Below are 23933 nucleotides of genomic sequence, written 5' to 3' on the forward strand. Positions count from 1 at the left end.
TACAGATGGAAAATAGCAGTCTGAAGCAGAGAACTCCAGGCTGTGACTAAGTCATTAAGAGCACCGTAACCGGAGGCTCTTCCTTCCGCCCCACTCCAACCCCCCTGAAAAAAACAAACTGATCCTATGCAGCAAGATCTTTGCCAGTGAGTCACGGAGCGGAGGCACCAGGCTGGAGCTTGAAGGATGCTGCCAAGATGCTTTGACCGTAAAAATGTTTACAACATGGCTGGATTCAGCCCAGACAGGAAAGGGATAAAAAGAGAAAACAAAAGAAGTGTCACCCTGTGGCTGCAGCTGCACACAGACAGATCGCCCCTGGGAAATTGCTGGTCCTGAGCAAACAGCCTTGAGAAGCAGGCAAGGGAGGGAGGTTAAGAGGACTGGACCACAGACACCTTGAACTCAGAAGATCCAAAACCACCCAGTATTCCATTTCCTGGTAAACTGCACCCCCATCTAGTAAGCTACCTGACTTAGAAAGGTGGGTGTCATCACTGATTCTCCACTCAGTCACCAAGCCCCGTGGATCTGAATTAACTCTCACATCCCTTCCAATCTACCCACCCCTATATCCCTGCCTTAGCTCAGGGTCCCCCACTTCCTCACATGGGCTAACAGATCTACAACTTGACTCCAGTTTTCCCTCCTTCCATAATTCATTTAGTCCTCTAACAGATATTTACTGAGCATTCGGACACTAGGATGGTCACAGATACTAGGATATCTGCCTTCCCAATGTCCTTTATCACCTTCTTCCTTACCAACTGAATCCCAGTTTGGTCAGGAAAGTAACATGCACCATCAAAAAAATATCACCTTCACAGACTTCTTTGCAAGTAGAGGCTATCTAAGCAGATATCTCTAGAAATGGCATCTTTCCTTGAATGTAAAAAAAAAGAGGGGGTGGAGAGGCTTCCAAGGAAAAAGCCTTAGCCCTTTTCTCCTTTCAGCATGCCATGTGGACGTGACGCCTGGAGATATCGCACCCACCTTATAATCAGGAGGAAGAATGCCACGTGTGGAGGATGGTGCCACAGGAATCTGGAAGAGCTCGATCCTGGACGACTTGCTCAAGCAGCTGCACATTCCTCCTGCCACCTACTTCTGGATATTGTGTTAGGTGGGTGTCTTCATTTCCTACTGCTGCTGTAACAAATGACCACAAACTTAGTGGCTTAAAACAACATATATTTATCTCTTCCAGTTCTAGAGGTCAGAAGTGCAAAATCAGTTTCTTGGGGTTAAACCTAGGTGTTGGCAGAGCTTGTTCCTTCTGTTTCCTCTGAGGGAAGAATCCTTTTCCTTGGCTCTTTTGATTTCTAGTGGCCACATTTGTGCCTCAGCTTGTGGCCTCTCCCTTTATCTTCCAAGTACATCCCTGCAATCTCTGGTTTCACCATCATGCCTCTTCTCCTCTCTGGCTCCTGCTGCGTCCTTGTTTTAAGGACCCTTGTGAGAACATCAGGACAATCAGGATACAGCAGGGACATGAGGATAATCCAAGATAATCCTCCCATTTCAAGATCCTTAATTTAATCACATCTGAAAAGTCCCTTTTGCCATGTAAGGAATCATATTCCTAGGTTACAAAAATTAGGACAAGGACATCTTTGAGGGCCATTATACAGCCTACCACAGGAGGAAAAAACAAACTGTTTACTTGTGTCAACCAATATTTTAGGATTGCCTATGGCTCCCAACTCAGAGTTGAAGGCGACCAGAGCTGATACCACTGCCCACTGTGTCCCAGGCACTGGCACTGTGCTCAGTGCTGGAGATGTTCCAACCAGGCTGAGGACCTCTAGCACAGAGTCTGCCATCTGTGTTTGCAGCTACGTATTTGCTTTTGACTGCCTTCTGTGAACTCCACAGGGCAGGAAATGGGTAACTTACTCTTTTCTGTGGTCTCACACCAACCTAGGGCCTGACAATTGCAGTGCTCAAATAATGTTGGTTAAGCAATGAACGCAAAAGCTCAGCAATGAACACAAAAACTCAGCAATGAATGCATGACTCAGCTACCAACTCCTAAAGACAGAAGCCTGAGTTAATTCTAAGCATCACTGAATAGAAGTGTGGAAGCTATTGATTAAACACTCTGTCCCAGCAATCCCCAAAAAGAATTCCATGGAACAGATGCTGGATAAAGCAAAGGTGGAAGGTTCCCTGAAACAAATATGTTTCGAAAATCCACACATGACTACCTCTTAAAGTTTCAACTCTGAGATGTTCCATAATGAAGAAATCTGCTTAACTTCAACTCACCATTTCCCAAGCTTACTTGGTACAATATCTATTTTTACCTTGAACACACATTAATCTCCTATGGAAACAGGGTTCCTTGGCACATACTTTGTGAAGCACTGCTCCACCCTTCTCAGGACTGGTCTGGGAACTAGGTCAGTTCAAGGCCTGCAGGTGGACTCAGCAGGTGATCAGGCTAAAAGTGGACTAAAGCTGCCAAACATAGGAGCGGCCATTGTCAGGAAGGGCTTTGGGGTGGAGCTGGACTTCCAAGGCTGGGTGGCACTTGTCCTGGTGTAGGGGAAGGGGGATACAGTCTGCATTTACCCCAAAGCCTGTTTGGCTTATTCCACATGGCCCAGGTACAGATTCAATGAACCCAGAGGAACAGTGTCAAGCAAGGGCACCCAAAGGCATTTTTCTTGAATGCCCTGATCCCAAGCCAGCTGACCATTTCCCGGCTACCTCCAGCCAAATGGCAGCTAGAGCATGAGGACCTGATCCCCTCCTCCACAACAGCCTTCCTGGATGGGGACTTCCTTTGCTCTGCTGTAAGAATCCATGTGACTCTGTGGCCCCTCTGCATTCAGATCCATCTGTGTTAAGAGAATGACTGCTCTCTGCTTTCTCTTAGCAGCCAGCATTGACCAGGCTCCAGGGAAGTCCCCCACCCCTCCCACCTCATGCACAAACATTTTCTGGTCTGCCTCGGGGCTGTGTATTCATTATGGCACATTTGTCTATGAAATAACAAAGCTGAACATGATGTTGAAGATCCTCTTCTGTGGTTTTCATATTGATATCTGCAGAGCCCTGGGGGCTCATCAGGGACACCCTGGGGTCCACTAATACAGAGATGGGGCAGCTGCTGGAGGCTCCACTTTCACCATTTTTGTATTGAACTCCATGAATGTTCATATCAGTGAAAGAATTCATTTGTATCCCATATACATAACTTTTTAAAAATTTTCAATCCACATTCCCTTGGTCAAGGTCTTTATATTGCAGATAGGAAAACTGAGTACCAGAGAAGGAAAGTAAGCACCCAAGGCTGCAGAGCAAATTAAAGGCACAGTTAGAAGAGACTCCAGGTCTCTTGACTCCCAGTTTCCATCATACTATGTGGTTCCCAGCATGGGTGGCACCAGACCAGAATAGAGCATTTGATGCAAAATCTTTAAGAGACATACTTTTTTCCCCAATTCCCCAAATTTACTACATTGATAAGGAGGAATTTTAACTTTTGTAGGATATAAAAAGTGGCATAAAATAGACTTTCACAAATAAATTTGGATTACAATAAGGAGCATGCTTCCTAAAGGAACTCCCCAGGGACCCCATTTGGTAAGTTAACTACTTTACCTTCCCTCTATTGGAAGGTTCTACTGGCTATAAAATGAATTTTCATATAAGGATCTCCTTCCATCCTCCAACCCTCCCAAACCCTAACCACATCCCTTTTCACCAGCTTCTTGGTCATTTTTTAGCAACATTACCCTAGCCAAAGAAAGAGAAGTATTTTTAATCCTGAGAAGGCTTAAAACATGGAATATGTCCTGTATGTACATATTCCAAAATAGTTAAGCACTTTCCATCCCACAAACAGTAGGTACTAGCCCAATCTACTTCCTGATCCAACCCTTCTCCCCCACCCACCACCTCCAACTCAGGATAAATCAACAAAAAGGACTCTCTTTACTTTTCAGAATACATGGTAAAGAGAATATACATCTATAGGAAATTTAAGACACAGTAATCCTCAATTTGTCAACTTCAGGACTTTTGTCAGGAAAGGCTTTGTGAAATTTCAGTAGGGTCACGGGACCCACCATTTGTTTCAATCGAGCATGCACTCTCTCCTGCTCCTTTCCTGCACCCTTCTCTCTTTGACGACTCTCTTATTTGGGTTACACTCTCTACGAGACTGGAATTGTGGCCGTAAAACAAAATGAGGACCTGAAGCTCAAAATGGGTAAGTAACCTACTCAGGGTCACACAGCAAGTAAGGGGTGAAGCCCAAATTCAGATCTGGGTTTTAGACTCCAATGCTCATATTTTCTCTACTTGGGCCTTAGCCTCCAAAACATGTAATATTAACAATATGGTCTAACATTCTTGGAGGTCTTGCTATGTGCTAGGCACTGTGCAAAACTGCTGTCCTTGAAGAAGTATAAAAATAAACACACCTCAGCAAGGAAAAGGAGGACCTTTTGGATTTTCAATCTCTCTCTGTCCTTCAGTTGAGACATGCAAAAAACAATCATCCATCTCTGGAACTTACAATTGAATGGTATAAGATCCACAGACACAGGCAACCAATTGAATAGCCATCTTTACAATCTGACCTCTTGCATTTGAAAGAAAGAAACATGATCCTTTTAACTCTTCAGATGTCTCCCAGCATATCACATCCTGTGCTCTTGCCAGATCACAGAAATAAATGGCAACATCACTTTCACAGTACCTGTCTGAATATTGGATGTGGACTGCATCCTAGATATTACCACCCCCCATGACAACCAAGCATACTAGATACTTTAGGAGAGTTCCAGATTCAGCATCTATCCTGTTATCCACATAAGTGGCTTGTTGAACCATGCAGTTACCATATAAAAACCCCACAAATCTGCTCAAATAGTTAACGTGAACCTCATGTCACCAAAACCTATAGTTTCAGTATGGGCTTGAACTTGTCCCTGGAATTGCTTGAATTTATGACTATTTAAGAGGGGTCGGTTTTCAAGTTGCAGTTCAGGATCTCAGAGGCTGGCATGAACCTTTTCCCTCTTTAACAGATTGGTTTCAGAAATCAAAGATTCCAAAGATTGAAGTGTCATCTGTGTTTTGTAGACAAGTATCTACTTAATCACTACTTCATTGCCTGAGGAGAGACTCATAATGTGTTCATGTATTCCAAAAGAATTTGGTTTCCCAGTTGGCAATAAATATCATAAGTTTCCAAACTGGGCATGTTGAGGCATTTGACATATCACGCTGCAGATCTAAGAACAAGACAAAGGGTGTTTGTATGCCAGAACAGAATGGTGGGGAAGCTAAGGACACCCAAAGTTCTCTCATCTAAAGATACTTCACTGCCACCATTTCCCTTTTACTACCTTAGTCACCAAAAATTCTACCCACCATGAATGTCCAGGCCCCCCTTCCCTTAGGTTGAAGCAATCCTAGTGTATACATCAGTGATGAATATTCACTGGGCTTCAGGACCCAGGAAAGCCAGACAGAGGGAAAAGTATTTATACAAAGGCTAAAGCATAGTCAATCAAAAATGTAAGAGTTAGTTTATAGAAGAGGAGAAGAGGAGAAGCAACTGCACCTTCAGTGTTTCTCTAGCTCCAATCCTACTAGAAAAATTGTTCCAATCCTACTAGAAAAAATGCCAGAACTTGTCCTCCCTACACTGTCCTTTAACCCCTTTGGAGTCACTAGACAATATCAGATGTGCACAGGAACAAGTCTTCTATTGCTCTTTGACTTCTGCCCCATCAGGAATATTTGCTGTCCCCACTTCTGCTGTCCCCAAAGCCACCTCTAGCTACCTTGTCATTATCACTGCTAGCCTTAGTCTCCTAGCCTTGCCAGAAAGACCTCCTTCCACTCTATTCTCAGCACTCATTTCCTGAAAACCCAATCAAGAGCCTCTCAGTATTGGGTTGGAGAAGTGATACATATCTGATGTACTGAACATCACTCACCCTCTTATGACTGTCTCATGCCCCTGAAACAAACCTATGCACCTCTACTATTTATTTAGGGTGAATTCCAATACAGAGTTTTTCTTGATTCCTCCTATAACCCACCCCACTGTCCTTCCAAGCTCATCTGAATAATGTTTACATTATCTCATTTAATCACCACCGCAACAACACAAGATAGATTATCTCTATGTAGGTCATCCCTTACATCCCTGGTGTTTCTCGAAGACACACCACCATCCTGGGAGTAAAATAAGGCAAGTTAAAAAGATTAAACTGCATGTCTCTGATTCTAGCCACCCCTCCCCTCTTTCAAGATCTCAGGTACTCCTGAGAGTTCACTCTTCCAAGGGGGCCACTTCTCCCGTGCTCACAAACGAGCTTCACCCTCCTCCAGTTACTAGACTTTTGCTGCCTTTAAACCAATTTAAAGGACCAGATTTATTGAATAGAATAATGTCAGAGAGGGTGCTGTATTGGCTTACCACTACCACCTCCAATGCTATCTTTTACTTCTGCCCCCTGAATCCTCCCAAGCTCTTAGTGCCTGCAGTGGTCATCAAATTTGTCAACATGCCACAATGTCAGTCATCAGGAAATCATGACCAAACTAGCCAGGATTCTTAGGGTGGCAAGTGACAGACACCCAAGTCAAGGTGAATAAGCAGAAAAGGGATGTTTTTAGGTGACATCACTGAAGAAACTCGGGGTAGTGCAGTATTCAGGAATCTCGGTCCCCTCCCTCTCTCCTCTCTGCTCTGCTTTGTGCTAGCTTTATTCCCAAACAAGCTCCCTCCTTATGGTGGCAACATTGGTCAGTGTGACTGTCAGCTCCAAATTTATTGCTATGCATAGCAGGAAAAGGGAGAAAATAATTCTGGAATAATACTCATGGCAAGGTCTCTGATTGCCTCAGTTTGTGTAACATACTCATCCTTCAACCAATCACTGTGACCAGAGGAAGATACACTTTAGGTCATCTGCCCACCCCTGGGAACACACATGGTTATAGGAGAGTGTTGGTTTCACCTAAACTAAATAGAATAGTTTCCATAGAGGAAAGAAAGATCCTGTCACTAAAACAAGAGGGAGAAGAATGCCAGGAAAGCAAAAGCAAGATATTCCCAAATAGACTTCATTCCAAGATCTTACATCTCTCTTTACTCCTTTAGGCTTGCTGAGAAACTGGGGTAAAACAAGATTTGCAAGTATGGGGGTGAGGACATCAATGGACGCTGTGTGAAGAGTGGGACCTGGAATATCAGGAGAAAAAGTAGGGACAGCTGTTGATTTAATTCAAACTGGCCTCGGACAAGTTTCTCTACCTGGGCCTCTGATCCTCATTCATAGGCAGATTGGTCTAAATCATTGCCTTAACCCATGGCCCTTGATCTCACCAAAGCTTCATAATTGCACTATGATCAAACTTGAGCATTGAAATATTAAAACCTATTTCCATGCTGCTCTTAACTATGCCCAGATATGAACATTTTAGCAACTCAAAAGCAATGCCAATAGTCTTGCTGACAATCTTCCAGTCAAAAACTTGTCCTCCGAGTTAAAAGATGTTTATCACATCTTAGAATCAATAAAGCAGTTCTCCTTTTCAAATATGTTGATATATATATTATATATATAACAATATGTATATGAATATGTTCCATAAACCTTCACAATTTTCCTAAGTTGGTCATCATGCAGAAACATTGTTCCAATTAAACAAGATGGCCTCAAATTCCTTCCTTCTCTAAAAAATCTATGGTGTTATGGGTTTTTTTCAGTTGGAAAATGGTGTCACCTCTCAGTATTCCACACCTATGAGAAAACCAATTTTCATCATAGAATCATAAATGAACACCTCAGTCTATCTTATGGCAGTTTTAGACGATTAAAAGTATGATGCCGTTAAAAAAGGAAAAAAGCATGGTGCCTAAACTTCATACTTATGAGGATGGCTATAATAAAAAAAAAGACAGATAATATAAGTGTTGGGGAGGATTGGAACCTTCATACAGTGCAGGCAGGAATATAAAATGGTGTAGCCACTTTTGTAAACAGTCTGGCAGTTTCTCTAAATGTTAAACATAGAGTTACCCTATCAGCCTGCAATTTTATTCCTAAGTATAAACCTAACAGAAATCAAAACATATGTCCACACAAAAACTTGGACATGAATGTTCAGAGCAGCATTATTCACAATAGCCAAAAAATGGAAACAATCCAAATGTCTGTCAACTAGTGGATTAATAAATAAAACATAGTAATTCATACAATCAAATACTATTAGGCCATAAAAAAGAATGAAGTACTGATACGTGCCACAGCATGGATGAACTTTGAAAACATTATGCTAAGTAAAAGAAATGAGTCACAAAAGAACACATATTGTGTGATTCCATTTATATGAATTGTCCAAAACAGGCAAATCTATAGAAACAGAGAATAGATTAGTGGTTGTCAGGTGCTGGACGAAGGGGATAAAGAGTAAATGACTGCTAGTTGGTATGAAGTTTTTTGGGGGGAGCGATGAATATATTCTAAAATTGATTGTGCATTGTGCTGGTGGTTGTACAGGTCTATGAGCATACTAAACACCATTCAACTTTACACTTTCAATGGGTGCACTGTATAGCATGTGAATTACAGCTTAGGAAAGCTTTTTTTTTTTTAAGTATTGTGACTAAGATCTGGTTGGCAAACAAATTAATACTGCTTGTCAACTACATTTAATTAATGAGAGGATATGAGGATTTTTTTTCCCTGCACAATTTCCATTCCCCCTTCTGCTATGCTATGATATATTTTTTCCTCTAATTGCCTCTTTTTTTTCCTTGTAAGTTTTTATTTCTATAGGTTTTTGTGAATAGGTGGTATTTGGTTACATGAATAAGTGCTTTAGTAGGGATTTGTGAGATTTTGGTGCACCTGTCACCTGAGTGGTATATACTGAACCCGATTTCTAGTCTTATTCCTCACCTGCTTCCCACCCTTTCCCCCTGAGTCCCCAAATTCCATTGTGTCATTCCTGTGCCTTTGCATCCTCATAGTTTAGCTCCCACTTATAAGTGAGAACATAGGATGTTTGGTTTTTCCAGTCCTGAGTAACTTCACTTAGAATAATAGTCTCCAATCCTACCCAGATTGCTGCGAATGCCATTCATTCATTCCTTTTTATGGCTGAGCAGTATTCCACTGCATAAACATACCACAGTTACTTTATCCACTCATTGATTGATGGGCATTTGTGCTGGTTCCACATTTTTGCAATTGCAAATTGTTATGCTATGATATTGTTTGATAGGAAGCACTGCACAGCATTTCCCATTTTATGTGTTCCCTGTGAAGCTGCCTTCATCATTTCTACCCCTCTAGACTCTAAGGAGGGAACACATGACCAGGCTAAGCCAGTCAGCACATATCCTTCCCTTGGTGACAGTGATTGGTTCAGCAATAAGCACATGATGCTGTGGGTGACAGTGATTGGCTGAGAGATAGGCATGTGACTCAAATTAGACCAATCAGAGCTAATGAGACTCATCCCCCTGATTTTATTTGAGCTCTTGGGGGTCTCACCCTTCTCTTTCTCCAATGGCTGTGAGTCTGAATGGAGGTACAGGGTGCAGTTAGCAGCTCCTTGCAAGCGTGAAGCAGCAGCCTGGGAATGATGGCAATACAGAATTAAGCAGAACTGAGAGAGGGAAGCAGAGTCCTGCCTGCAAGTCATTTGAGCCCTGATTCCTGCCATGCCTGCAGCCAGATCTTTCCTCTGTACTGTCCCATTATAGAAACTATAAAGTTCCCCATTCTGCATAAACTAAAATGGGTTGGGTTTTCCATCTCTTGTAGCCAAGAGAATCCTAAGTGAAAGAAATAGAAAATGGCTTTCCTAAGCACTGCCTTGAGAAATTGAAGGACACCTTTCTTGTGTATTGAAAGAAGGCTCAACTGACTAGAAATTTCTATCCTTGGGGTAGGACCAGAGCTGGGACAGGGAATGTTGGCACCTATGCCACATAGTGGAGGAAATAAAGCCAAAACTGTGTGGTGGTAAATGTCTTGTCTTTAGCGCCACAGATTATTGATAATTGATCATACTCCAATCTCCCCACAGAGAAAATGGATTTAGAAATATTTCCAACTCCCACTGCCCAGCAAAATATGGTTGGCCAATGTTTCCCCAGGATATCAGGAAAGCCAGTGCAGTCAGATTCCATCTGATTTGCAAAGCACCAGGTCTTGTGAACACTAATGTGCTGATCAGCTTTCAAAGAACCAACCAAGCCTCTGCAAGCCAAAAAAAGGAGACTTACATGGGCTTTATCAATCAGTTATCTTTCTGATTAGTATTTAGTTGCACTTTGAGGATTAATTCCTTCAATACAAGTGAACACTTGTAATCCATATGAATATACTCACCCTATAAGGAGATTTTATTAAGGTAAATACCTGAAGTATTCATGATATTGTGAAACTCAAATCTCCCAAATGAACAACTGAGGTCTTATACACAGCTCAGGAGATAAAGCACCTCAATGGCCTTCTTTGAGTCATGAAGGCTGTGGGCCTATTCACCTTCGAATTTTGGATTTGACTCACCTTTGGGATTTGAGGATCTAAGCCAAGTTTGTCTACACACAAAACCACAGCTTCTTCACCAGTGTTCTCTGATGCCTGAAACAATTCCTAGAACAAATTAGGCAGCCAAAAAATGTTTTTAGATTTTTTTCCTTTCTCTTCTAGAAGAAACTCCAAAGGTCAAAAGGTCTGTTCCCTGACACTCAGACCAATCCTAGACGATTAGCGTTTGGAAAATCAAACTAGAACAATAAAGGGAATTCATTAGCTCATGTAACTGAATGGCCCAAGGATGGTAGAAGCTTCCAGCAAAGCTTAATCCAGGACTGTATTTTGAGATCAGGACCTGGTTTCCCTCTGTCCCTTTTTTTTTTTTTTTCCTTAGCTTATTATTAGTCCATTTTCTTTGATGTTGGTTCCATTCTCAAGTAGTCTTTCCCCTCATGGTGTCAAAATGACTGAAAACAGCTCCACAGCTACATGATCCTTCATTCACATCCAACAGAAATAAGACACTGTGTCTCAGCATTTCCAACAATAGTCCTAAGATTTCCTTGGATTGGATTGGCTTAGATCATGTGCCCATATCTGAACCAATCAGGATGTTTATAAAGAGGGCTGCATGCTGATTGGCCCAAGTCAGAGTCTATTCTTGAAGCTAGGAAGAATGTCAGTCTCACTCAGACCACATGACTGGGGAAGTTGGGGTACAGGAGGTAAAGAAAGTGGGCATGATGGGTAGCCCCATTTTATATATGAAGCAACAGAAAACCAGAGAGGTTTCATCACTCACCCAGAAAGGCAGAGTTAGTCCAGCAAGAGGAGAAACTAGACCTCCAGCCCACTGCCCAAAACAGTCTTATTCTTTCCTCTCTGTATTTAACTTACTCCGAACCAAAACTGTACAAATATCATCCTGTATTTTTCTACTTCTATCATTCTATGAAGAAAAGACAGAAATACTTTAAGGTGTTTCTAGGGGAAAGTAACTTACTTGCAGGTGCACTCCATTCCTTATGATCAGGTTCAACAATATTCAAGAACAAGCAACAACAACAACAAAAAGGTCCCAGGAACCCAATCCATAGACCAACTCAGTCGTCCCAGCCACACAAAGCAACACAAAATGACTGGCAGAGTGAACAAAAAAAGCCCCCACTAGGGCCCTGGGGCTGACTCCAGATTTGAGGGAGGAGGCTGGAGGCCAGAACTGCCTTTTCTTTGTTCCCAATTCTCCATGAGGCTATTTGCATTTCATTGTGGTCCTGGATGATTTAAGGAGCCCAGTGAAAACCCTTGGATGTGGTTAGGACATTCATGCTCCAGTGATAAATAATGTGACCAATGTGTATGGCCTAGAGTCACTGTATTATCAAAGAGCTCCTTGGAAACTGGGCAAATGGTAGGGCTTTTTTTTTTTCCCCTCCTGCTTGTGACTGGTTTATTAATTAATTTATTTATTTTTCATCTACTTTATGAATTGATTTCTCATCCCTTTCCAAGCATATAATACCGTCCTGGGGACTGACACCCATCCTGTCTTTACAACCAGATCCTTTCAATACTGCTGTTCCGCCAGAGCTTTGATCAGCGGGTCAGAGTTGAAAGAAAAAGATGAAGGCCCCTTTCCCATCTTTTTCTCCTCACCAACCTCTCCAGACACTTTTCCCAACCCCCCACTCCCCACCCCCCGCTCAAAGAAATCTCCTGGTTTACTTCAAAGGCAGGTCTGCATCCAAAAGAGATAATATTGATGGGGAGTGGGGGTAGAAGGGAGGAAGTAGAGAGGAAGGAGAGGGGTCTCTGGACAGTGAGGGAAGTGAGACAGATGGGCACAGAGCCTGCTGTCTGAGCCTAACTTGTCACTGGGAGGCAGGCCAGGCTGGGAGGACTCAGGCCTTCATATGTGAGGAGGCGTGACAGTGAAAACTCAGCAGTCCAGGCTTATCTTTGCTGGCAGAGAAATCAGGTTTGGACAGATCTGAAGAGAATGACTACTGGTTATTTCTGGAACAGCTTCTTAGATTTGCTGCCATGCCTGTCATGGTGGTTAAGAGCTGGGGTTTGGGAGTCTGGGTTCAAATTCCAGCTCTTTCACATTTTAAATGTATTCAGTTGAGCAAATCTTTTCTTCTCTAAGCCTCGGACTTCTTGTCTCATCTGGTAGAGGAGAGCAATGTCCTTCCTATAGTCCCAGCAAACCAACAATTAGGGTGAACTGAGCATGCTGCTTTCCAAAGACAAGGCTACCATCAAGAGCAAACACCTCACCCTCTTTCTGTATGGATATGAAAATCAGTGGGGAGAGAAGTTTATCTCCTTTGATGACCTGAAGTCTTCCAAGCCTCAAGTTGTCAAGAGAGTGAGGATGCAGGATTGAGGAGGATGCAATGTGCCAGAAAGAAAGGACTATCATGAGGTACATTCACAGGTGGATAAGGATGGAGATAGCCCAGGATCTGAGCTGACACTTTCAACTTGAATTTTCACCAACCCTTCCTCATCACTATGAGCCAGATGAAAGAATGAGCCAAACTAGATTCCGGGTTTCCAAAATATCCACTCAGCTACAGCAGGGGTAGTGCACGAGATCCTCAGTTACAAGCAGGGGCCTGAACACAACATCCGAGGAAGTCTTTTGTCCACTCGAACTAGAGATACTTCTGTGTGTCCGAGACAAGGTGACAAGTATCCTGGACATAGGGATCATAATAGTATTGTCTTCTTATAGATTTTAGGCTCCAGTAAGATAATGTGGGCATACAGCACTTTGAACCATGCAAGGCATAGAGTGCATACTCAAGAAATGGTAGCTGTCATTAACATTTCAAGAGCTTTTGTTTTGTTTTGTTTGAGACAGAGTCTCAACAGAGTCTTGCTCTGTCACCTAGGCTGTAGTGCTATGGCGAGATCTCGGCTCACTGTAACCTCCGCCTCCCAGGCTCCAGCAATTCTCCTGTCTCAGCCTCCCAAGTAGCTGGGATTACAGACACCTGCCATCATGCCTGGCTAATCTTTGTATTTTTGTAGAGACAGGGTTTCACCATGTTGGCCAGGCTGGTCTTGAACTCCTGGACTCAGGTGATCCACCCACCTCAGCCTCCCAAAATGTTGGGATTACAGACGTGAGCCACCACGCCCAGATTTCAAGAACTTTCAGCGTGCTTTATTTAAATGGTAAGTTCCTTCAGAGCATTCTCTGTTCAAGGTGGAAAAATTAGAACACAACTCAGACTTCAAATATGTCCCTCCCTCATTTCGCATGGTGGCTTTTTGGGCACTGACGCTGGTAGTGTTTTCTTTTCCACTGTCCTATCATCATAGAACTTGGCTTTGTGACATTGTAAAAGTCTTTTGTGCCAGGATAACCAATTAGGCATTGAAGGATGGAGGAGCCTGGCACTCAAGGGTTTATTTTTTCCATTTGTCTTTCAAGGGCAGTGATGGTGGCTTTCCAGAGCCACAGTGGCTCCAGCTGTGTTAGCCCCTCCAAACGAATGATTTACAGACATGTTTTTAGGGGTACCTTGCCCACTCTGTGGGTTCAGCGTTGCCTAAATCACGTGCTGACTTCTTTTTGCCATTTGTTACATACCTGGACCCTTTGTGTCCTTCCTCCAAGCTGTCATCCTGTGGTTACTTGGCAATTGCCAACTGGTTTTTTATATTAGCCCAAGAAAAACATCATTAGGAAGGGCGAGTCTGTGGCCAAATCCATTGCTTAATGGCCTGCAAAGCCAAACAGAAATAAATTGGAGGTATCTAAGCTGAAGGCCTCTCTGCTAGCAGGAAAAGTGAAACTCGACACTTGAAACATGAAAAATGGCAAGGCTGCCATTGCCACACTGCAGAAAGTTTCCTCTTAATAAAGTCACTTATAGAAATGTACTGTTTCTCCTGAGGTCTTCTTATAAAATTGGTCTAAAAAGGAAGGCTATTTTCTCTACAAGGTAAAGTAATCATGTTCTCGGCTTTCATTAAAATCCTCATTTGCCACAGAACTGATTCTATTTCTTCTTAATGGGGCTGCAAAATTATAAAGAAGGCAACTCAGCACCATCTCCCATTGGGTCGCTCTTTCTCCCCTTCCTGCCACTCCATTTCTCCCTTCTTCAGCACTCACCCATCTTTCCATCACTGTCCCACTCCTGCTTCCACCACCCCTCCCCTCACTGCACTGCCTCACCCCTACCTTGCTGTGGCTTGAATATCTGTGTCCTCCCAAAATTCATATATTGAAAATTTAATCCCCAGTGCAACACTATTAAGAGGCAGGGCACTTAGGAGGTGATTAGGCCACGAGGACTTGCCCTCATGGATGGGATTAGCAACCTTACAAAAGGGCTGGAGGGAACTAGTTACACCCTTTTTTGCCTTTCTGTCCCTTAGACATGTGAGGACACAGCATGCATCCTCTCTGGTGGGGAAGGCCATGAGGCACCATCTTGAAAGCACAGACTGGGCCCTCACAGGCATAGAATCTGCCAGAGCCTTGATCTTGGACTTCCCAGCCTCCAGAACTGTGAGAAATAAACCTCTCTTCTTTATAAATTACCCAGCCTCAGGTGTTTTGTTATAGCAGTAGGAATGGGGTAAGACATATCTCAATTGCCCCACCTCTACCTCTACCACCTCACCACTACCTCCACCACCTTATCCTTACCTCTACCATCCCACCACTTCCTCCACCATCATTCACACCCACCTTCACTGCTGCACAATCCCATGGATACAAAAGCAGAAAAACCAGTTCCCTTCAAAGGTAACACTCAGACTGATATCAAGCATCTTAACAGTATAACTTAGAGATGACAAATTCTGAGAAAAGAAATGATGACCCAAGAATTTTATGACCAAGGAAGTTGTACTTCAGATTCAAAGGCAACAGGCAAATTATAACAAACACACAAACACACACACCACACAAATCAGAGATGTAGCACTAATGAGCCCTTTGAAATAAATAAAAAAGACTTATTAAATCCAGCCAACCAAAAGATGAATCAAAATAAAGAACTCAGAAAAACAGATTAAAAATGTTTTAAAAGAATAGGTGGTGAACATTAATATATCAGAATATAAAACTAAAGCTATATAGCTGCAATGATTGCCACTTAATATGTAAAAAATAATCATATAACATAAAAATTGAGACATCGAATATGTAGGTGAAGTGAAAAAGTTATAATTTCTTAGAGTGCCATGTTAGGGAATTTATAGATAAGCCTAAATTTAAAACTTAAAAAAAATCTGCAACCCCAACATATTCATTTGTTTAATAATCTTTATGTTTTAGCTTCAGTAGGCTCTTTTGGGAACTTATCACCAGTTGTATCATAAATATTTATTTGAAATTTTAGTAATTCTCTGTTTCCTTTCCTTCTGTGAAATAACAGACTATGTAATTTAATATTTTGTTTTAATAAAGACATCCATGGAACATTCCTATATTTTTCTCTCTATTGCTTTATCTATGTGTGGAGAGAGGATGAAATTATGATTACAGGGGTCAAAGGTGGTTATTTCTATGTGATGAGATTGGGAATCACCTTTAGTTTTCTTCTTTGCACTTTGCTGTGTTGTGTGACTTGTTTTAATCATTATCATGTGCCATTTTACAAAGATAATACTATTAAAGAAAATTAAAATGTGAAATTTAACAAAGAAGAGTGACCGATGCCTTCTCTCTGGCTCCCTGGGCCCCTCTCCAACATGCCAGAGGGGCCCTCGGGAGCAACAGGGATTGTCAGGATGAAGGATGTTCTGTCCGAACATTGTCTCCTGAACTATTTCTATCTGCATCAGAGATGGATTTCCTAGCAACTCAACTCATCAACTCCCCCTTGCACGCACCAACATGGACCTGGAAAAGTTAATGTCTAATGTTTCTACATTGCAGGAAACTGGCATGAGCATACACATCCATTCAGAGGAGGTGAAAGTGGAGTGACTGATGCTAGAATCCCCACCTTCTGAGTCAACGGTCCAGAGAACAAGGCCAAAACAGCCACAAATACTTTTCAGGCTTCAGGATCAAATTTTTTATTCTTGAATGATCCAAACACTTTAAGAAAAATAAAGTTTCTAGAGGAAATCAACAAAAGTGAAAAAAGAAACCTGTTTCAACCAAAATTTAATGACACATGAGGTGTTTGGGTGCACCGTATTTGGGACAAGTAGAGAGGGCTCAGCACCTGCTGTCAGGGAGGCCTCCGGTATGTCTCAGGTGCCCAGATGTTCAGGGCAATGTGGGGGCAGAGATTCAGAGGCACGATCAGAGCAGCCTTCCGAGAAGAATCTGTTAGTGCCCCCTGCAGAATCCCAACATGAAGAAAATAACAATGTCTTTAATGCATGCACTAAGCACTTCATAGTCATTAAATCCCATTCAATCCTTACAACATCCTTACAAGGTCAATGCTACTATCGTCTCCATTTTACACATACAGAAACTGAAGCTCAAACAGTTTAAGCAATGTAGGCAAGGTCACACAGCTAATATTGGTTGGCCTCAGGATTTAAAAACAAGTAACTGGTGACCTACTCAATCTTGACAGCATTCCTAAAAAGGACAGGAGAGTGAATTCAACAAAACTGACTAGCTCAGAGAGGAGCACAGTGGTAGCTAGGATCCAATCAGACAAGAGTCTATCCTGGGCAACAAGAGCCCAGAATCAGGGAATTCTGAACAGCAGCAGGGATAGCCACAGCAGGCAGAGACGTGGGCCCCATTTCTAACCCAAAGCCCAATTTATACAGCCTGATGGGTCAGGGAGAGGTACCCTATTCCTCATGATAGCATGGTAGCTAGAAGGATATCAAAGCACCCCACCTGGATCTGGCCCCAGTGAGGCAGAGGCCAAGATTATCACATGACCTAAGAAGCCTCTTGAACTTTCTGGAGATACAAACTCCATGTGGAATTTAATATAAGCCCTGTCTTAAATTAAGCTTCACTTCGATGGCATACATTAAAGGTGGCTGGATGGTTGGGTCACCCAAGGCTGGGTCATGAGGACAAGACTGGTATGTCTTGTTCCCACAGTGAATTGCAGCTCTCAAAATTGCATTATCCAAAGGTGCTGTCTGTCCATTTGCTGTAGCTGTTGTGATCCCATCTCTCTGGCAACCTTAAGCATGTTGTTCCCTACAGCCACAGCTAGGCAGGGGGAAACCAGCAGTCTCTCTGAGAAGACAACTCTTCTAGCACCTTCCTCCTGCTGGGGGAACATCCTGACTCCAAAGCCACTACACATTGCCGTGGTAGCTGTGAACTGAACAACTCCAGGAGGTGCCATTCACAGAGACAGAAATGGGAATGATGCCTCTTGGAGCTGTGCGACATGGTGGCCCTGGACTCTTGCCAAGTTCTGCAAAGCCAACCTCAATTCATCCTTCATGACCCAGCCCAAGTACCCTCTCCTCTCCAAACACTCCCATGGCCTCCACCCTAAGCAGTAATAGTAATAATTATAACAACTGGCATTTACTGCACGCTAGGTAACTGTCATGCGGTGCACTAAACACTTTACATGCATTAGCACATATCATAGTTATCACTGTTTTCTCCATTTTATAAATGATGCAACCAAGGCTTTGAAAACTGGAGTTACTTGCCCAAAGTTCCAGAGCTAGTAAGAGGCAGGATTCAAATGAAGCAGGCTGACTCTGAAGCCCAAGCACTCACTGTCCACTCTGCCAGCTGTGCCCACTTTTTACTTTGCAATACATTCGAACCTCTATATCTACATGCTCCGTGTCTGTGGATTCAACAACTGCAGATAGAAAATATTTTTAAAAAGAATAAAACAAATAAAAACAATATAGTATAACAACTACTTACATAGCATTTACATTGTATTAGGTATTATAAGTAATCTAGAGATGGTTTAAAGTATATGAGAGAATGTATGTAGGTGATAAGCAAATACAAAGTCATTTTATATCAGGGACTTGAGCATCCACAGATTTTGGCATCCTCAGGGGTCCTGAAGCCAGTGCTCTGCAGAGACCAAGGGACAACTGTACCTACCTGGAATCCACCCTTCTCCTAGCACCTATCATACGTGGATGCACTAACTTGTTTATGACCTGTCTCTTCTACTAGACTGTGAGCTCTTTGGGATGAAGGATCCTATCTTATTCTATCTTATATACCCTGGTATCTACTAAAGAGTTGGAACTCCAGAACTGTTTGATAAAAGCTTACATGCATGTGTGGTGATGGCCACTTGGCATAGACCGTTTCTACTCTGATTCCATTTTGGGCTCTGGCCCTCAGGTTGCCTGAACACAAGACACAGAGTCTCATTCAAAGGAGCTCAGGAGATGACAGAGGATGGAAAGGGGTATAGCAGGGCTCTTGACCCCATTTTGTTTTAATTAATTACTAAGGGATCCAGGAAATGTTGACTATTAATTTGGAGGCCAATGGAAGACTCAGAGGCATCACTTTCTGAACCACGAATCACCCTCCTCTCTTGATCCTGAGACTAGCATCCCTAAAGCTGAGCATTGCAAAGTGGCTTTTACTCTATTGAACAGAAGAGAGACTCGCATCTATGCTGATCAGAGCCTTTACACAGCCACTTGTATTCATGTTCAAAGGCCTACAGCCACGAGCCTTGGAGATGTGCCGGCCCAGTAATTTTCAAACACTGTTACCAGTAAAACCTTCTTGTATGGAAGGCCAATATATAAATCAGATAAAAGATGAAGAGCTGGGGCCTGGAGCACCCCAGCTCAGCTTCTTCTTTGCCTACCTCCATAGCACTTCCTGAGGCACCTCTCTGATACCCCTAGGTCTTCACTGAACACAGCATAGGGCCACTGATTTTGCCTCATTCCTCCAGCTTGTAAATGAACAAGAGAGGACCAGAGAAAGGAAGAGACTCAGTAAGGGTCTCAGGCACCTGTGCTGCTGCTTCTTTGAGCATCCCCTAGCATACAAAGCTGATTCAGCAAGCAGTATCTTTACAATGACTGGGCCGTGCTGCAACTTGTTCTGCAACAGGGAAGAGCATGTTCTGATCCACCCTCACTTTCTCCTGTGTCTTGGGGAATGTGTTTCTGGAGCACTCCAGTGCGTGGTGAGAATCTTGAATTTACATCATTCCCCAATATAAGCCCCATGATATAGTTTGGATCTGTGTCCCCACCCAAATCTCATGTCCAGTTGTAATCCCCAGTGTTGGAGGAGGGGCCTGGTGGGAGGTGACTGGAACATAAGGGCAGAGTTCTCATGGATGGTTTAGCACCATTCCCTGCTTGGTACTGCACAGTGAGTGAGTTCTCATGAGATCTAGTTGTTTAAAAGTGTTTCACCCATGGTGGAAGGCAAGGCCAGAGCAAGCATCTTACATGGCAGGAGCAGGACCAAGAGAGAGAATCTGCTCCGATTTTGCCTTCCACCGTGAGTAAAAGTTCCCTGAGGCCTCCCCAGAAGCAGATGTTGCCATGCTTCCTGTACAGCCTGCAGAACCATGAGCCAATGAAACCTCTTTTCTTTATAAATTACCCAGCCTCAGGTATTTCTTTATAGCAGTGTGAGAACGGATGAATACACACCATATTCACTTTTGAGACCTGCTGTAACAAATCACCACAAACTGAGCAGCTTAGAACACCAGAAGTTTATTCTCCCACAGTTCAGGAGAACAGGTGACTGAGTCAAGACGTCAAGGTTGGTTCCTTCTGGAGGCTCAGAGGCTCCCATGCCTCTATTGTGGATTTTGTGTTTGCTGGCAATCCTTGGAGTCCTTTGGCTTGCAGAAATGTCACTCCAATCTCTGCCTACATCTTCACATCTCTTTATTCTCTGCATGTCTCTCTGTGTCCTCTTCTTTTAAGGACACCAATCATTAGATTTAAGTACACCAATTATTAGATTTAGAGCGCATCCTAAATTCAGGATGATTTCAACTTGAGATTTTCAACTAAATTACACCGATAAACACCTTATTTCCAAATAAGGTGACATCCTGAGGTTCTGGATGGACATGAATTTTGGGAGGACACTATTCAATGCATTATAAGCCCCAGGTGAGTCACCAGGGGACTCGAAACCCAGGACTTCAGGTTCATTAGCTAGCACAGGGCTGGGTCCCTCCAGCTGAGCCAGTGCAGTCCCTGCTAAAATAGCTCTTGATTGACAACACAGGCCCCTCAACCCCTCTGCCGCACCCTGTCAATGGTATCAGCAGGGTGGGGTCCACACCTCCTGTGCTGGTAGAGATAATCTAGAGAGGAAATCCTGGGCTGCCCAGATGACACAAGAAATTTTCCTCAGAGGAGGGTGGCCTAAGTTGTTTCTCACATTGCCCTTTGCTCCTCAGTCAGCAATGAACATAGGAAGTGGCTCTCCTCAGCTTCTCCTGATGTCAACTCAAATGTTGACAGTGCCTATAAACCAAGAGACAGGGAGCTTATCAGTGACATACCAAACCCAGGAAACACTTACTACACTTTCATATCTGGATCTGGATGCCAACATTGATAGTATCCCGGAGCACCTTCAGATTATGTCCAGTGCACTTCAAGAAAAAGAGAAGGCAGCTTTCTCTGCAGAGAAAGCTGGCAGCCAGGGTTGGAGGAATGCAATTGCTGGGTGATGCAATGGAAGTTTCAGAGAAGGCCCCAGCTGAGGCTTCTACAAACGAGACTTTGGTGAGAGTTGTAAACTTGAACAAAACCAGTTACCATGAGATAGCTCCTTAGCCCTAGATGGTGACAAGTCTGAACATGCTGAAATTGAGATGATGCTTTGGTTTCTGTGTGCCTTTGCTGCATTTTGGCTTTTTACATCCAGGACTGCCTGTTTCTTGACCCATACTTTGCCCCAACAGTACCTGCTCTCCCTCTGTGCTAGTGAGGGTTTGGGGTTATAACTGTTAGACCGAGATAAGAGCGTAAGTTTTGGCTTCAGACAAACCTGAGTTTGTGTCCAAGCTCTGCCACTTAAGAACAGTATGAGTTGCTGCAGATTACACTGAGCTAATAATAATACTACCTAACAGGAATGTCATAAGTTAAATAATCAATTCATGCCAGGTACTTAGCCCAATGATGGAACGCAGCACGAACTCAATAAATGTTAGCTATCATTATCACTATTATTACTATTGTTATTCACAATATCATAAGGAAGAGAAACTTACATGCTTCCCCCAAAAAATACACTCTATATGATACAGTTGAAGAAGAGTTGGTGTTATATCATATTTCCAATGATCTTTGCCCTGTATTTCCTGTGGCTGAACCGATAATATTAGAAGCTGCTAACATTTTTTGAAGGTTTGTTGCATGTCACATACCATTCTAAATGCTTTACTTCAACCAACAACCCTGGGAGCTGTAGATACTCTTATTATCATCTCCACTTTACAGAAAAGGAAGTAAATTGCAGAATAATTATGCATTGCCCAAGATCACACATCTAATAATGGTTGTCTAGAGTTACAACCAAGGCAGTCTAGCTCAGAATCTGCAAGCTTAACTATCCACTGTCCTACCCTCCTGATAGAAGTTGGTGACCCCTCCGACTAGGATAGATTCCACTTCCAGGGACTTCAAAGAACTCTCAGCAGGAATTTTTAACTGACAATTTGATTTGACAGAATTGTCCTGCCTCTATGCTAATTGATCCCTTAAACTTAGGTTCAGAAAGAGTACATGGGTTGCCTGAAGTCCTGAAGCTAGTCTCTGACAGATCCTCAAGCAGCCCGACTGGAGCCAGGTTTCCATGAAAATTCAAAGAAAGGAAAAACCCAGATTGTAGTAGATTCTTCCCAAATACCCACAGGTCTGCATTTTAATTGATTATTGGGCTTAGCTACCAGATCCAAGGTTGATTTGCAAGGTCGATCCTACAGGGGCACTCTGCAGTCCCAGGGCAGAGCCCAGCCACAGGAATATGGGCTGAGAATCTACCATTATTCCTGGGAGAAGGAATTGGGGGAGTTGAGGACTGAAATCAGATCTTGGAGGAATAGTTACTGGGTGATGCAATGGAACTGACACCAGGATGGAGATTCTTGAGCTAAGCAGGACAAAAACTGTTCTCAGCCCCTGGGGGATATCCCACTGAAGTCAAGACTTTCATCCCAGAAAAGGAGGAGTTGAAATGGGTGGATTTCACTCTGAGTTGGGAGAATGATGTAAATACTACACTGAGTGGTACTGTACAAACCTTCTTTGACCTCAGCCCAGAGGGTATATCTTAAAGTTTCTTTAGGAGAAGAGAGTATCATATGAAGGAAAAGAGGCAGACCATTCTCCTGGTATCTAGTGATCAAGCTATATCTCTAGGACCAAGCAGGCTGGGAGAAGAAAATCATCCTCTATTTCTGTCACAGTTGCAAGTTTAACATCATCAGAAGTGTCACAGTCACTGAGTGTCAAGTGATGGCTGCCCACAGTGGCAGCCACAGAAAAGCTTTAATTCCCATCCAGAGAAACGTGAGCCACCTCACTCCACCCCCAGGACACTGCCAGGTGTAGAAGAAAGAACTGAAGGACTGGAAATACTAGCAATTTTCACAAGAAGAGGCTCTAAATCCAATACAGCTGATGGTGTCTTTAGGCCACCTGGGAAAATAAGAATATTATCCTTGTAATCCTCTCAACTATACCAAGAGACAGTTAGTCTTATTACTTCCAGTTTACAGATAAGGAAACCAGGATTGAAAGATTAAGTGGAAACTCCTCTTTTCTGTCCCTGACTTTCTGTCTGTGTACTCAGGGAGACTTCAGGCTTCTTGGAAGGATTGAGAAGAAGCTTCTACCTGTCCTTCCACCTCTCATTTCCTCCTCTCAAGACGACATATCTAAATAAGGAAAAACAGATTGGTTTTCCTTCTACATTCACACCGCTCTCAATACTTCACTCTGACAACAGATACGTGGGTTTTTCCCACACCAACCAATTTACCAACTCTCTGTGGACACCAACTGGATGTCCTAGAATTTAACTCAATTTGACATCAGATCTCACAGGTTAAGGGCTCAGTCCCACAAAACTGCCTCCCCCTGTTACAGTAGGTAGCTAGTCCCCACTCAGCCACCACACCAGGAATGTCAGCAACCATCAGGTGATGGTCAGGCAGCTGTTAACTGTCTCTCTAAAATAATAATTGGTCTCAGCCAGTGCCAGGAAAAGGCAATCTTCTAGTAGATAGAAACACCTGAAACTGATGACCAGCAGCTTCCTGATAAGATCTCAGGAGGTGGGCGATTGGGCTCACACATGAGCATTAATGGGCAAAATGGCAGCGTTTAACTGGTATATGACCTTATAGGAACATTAGACTGGTAAGGGAAGAATGCCTCAAGTGAGCATGTGTACAACTCCAGTAAACACACTGCTCCTGCGGCCCCTCCAAAGTGCTGGCAGCCACTGCA

The 23933-nt window shown here is 43.1% G+C and overlaps 2 annotated features.

The window, feature by feature from the left end:
• Positions 450 to 1649: an enhancer, noted in NCBI's record as "CDK7 strongly-dependent group 2 enhancer chr12:106328523-106329722 (GRCh37/hg19 assembly coordinates)". NCBI's record gives its function as "activates an origin of replication core promoter dependent on BRD2, BRD4, P300/CBP, MED14 and CDK7 cofactors, with strong dependence on CDK7, by STARR-seq in HCT116 cells {active_cell/tissue: HCT116}" and the evidence as "EXISTENCE:reporter gene assay evidence [ECO:0000049][PMID:35650434]".
• Positions 20572 to 21771: an enhancer, noted in NCBI's record as "MED14-independent group 3 enhancer chr12:106348645-106349844 (GRCh37/hg19 assembly coordinates)". NCBI's record gives its function as "activates an origin of replication core promoter dependent on BRD2, BRD4, P300/CBP and CDK7 cofactors, and independent of MED14, by STARR-seq in HCT116 cells {active_cell/tissue: HCT116}" and the evidence as "EXISTENCE:reporter gene assay evidence [ECO:0000049][PMID:35650434]".

Source organism: Homo sapiens, chromosome 12 (assembly GCF_000001405.40).
Source record: "Homo sapiens chromosome 12, GRCh38.p14 Primary Assembly".
Taxonomy (NCBI): Eukaryota; Metazoa; Chordata; class Mammalia; order Primates; family Hominidae; genus Homo; species Homo sapiens.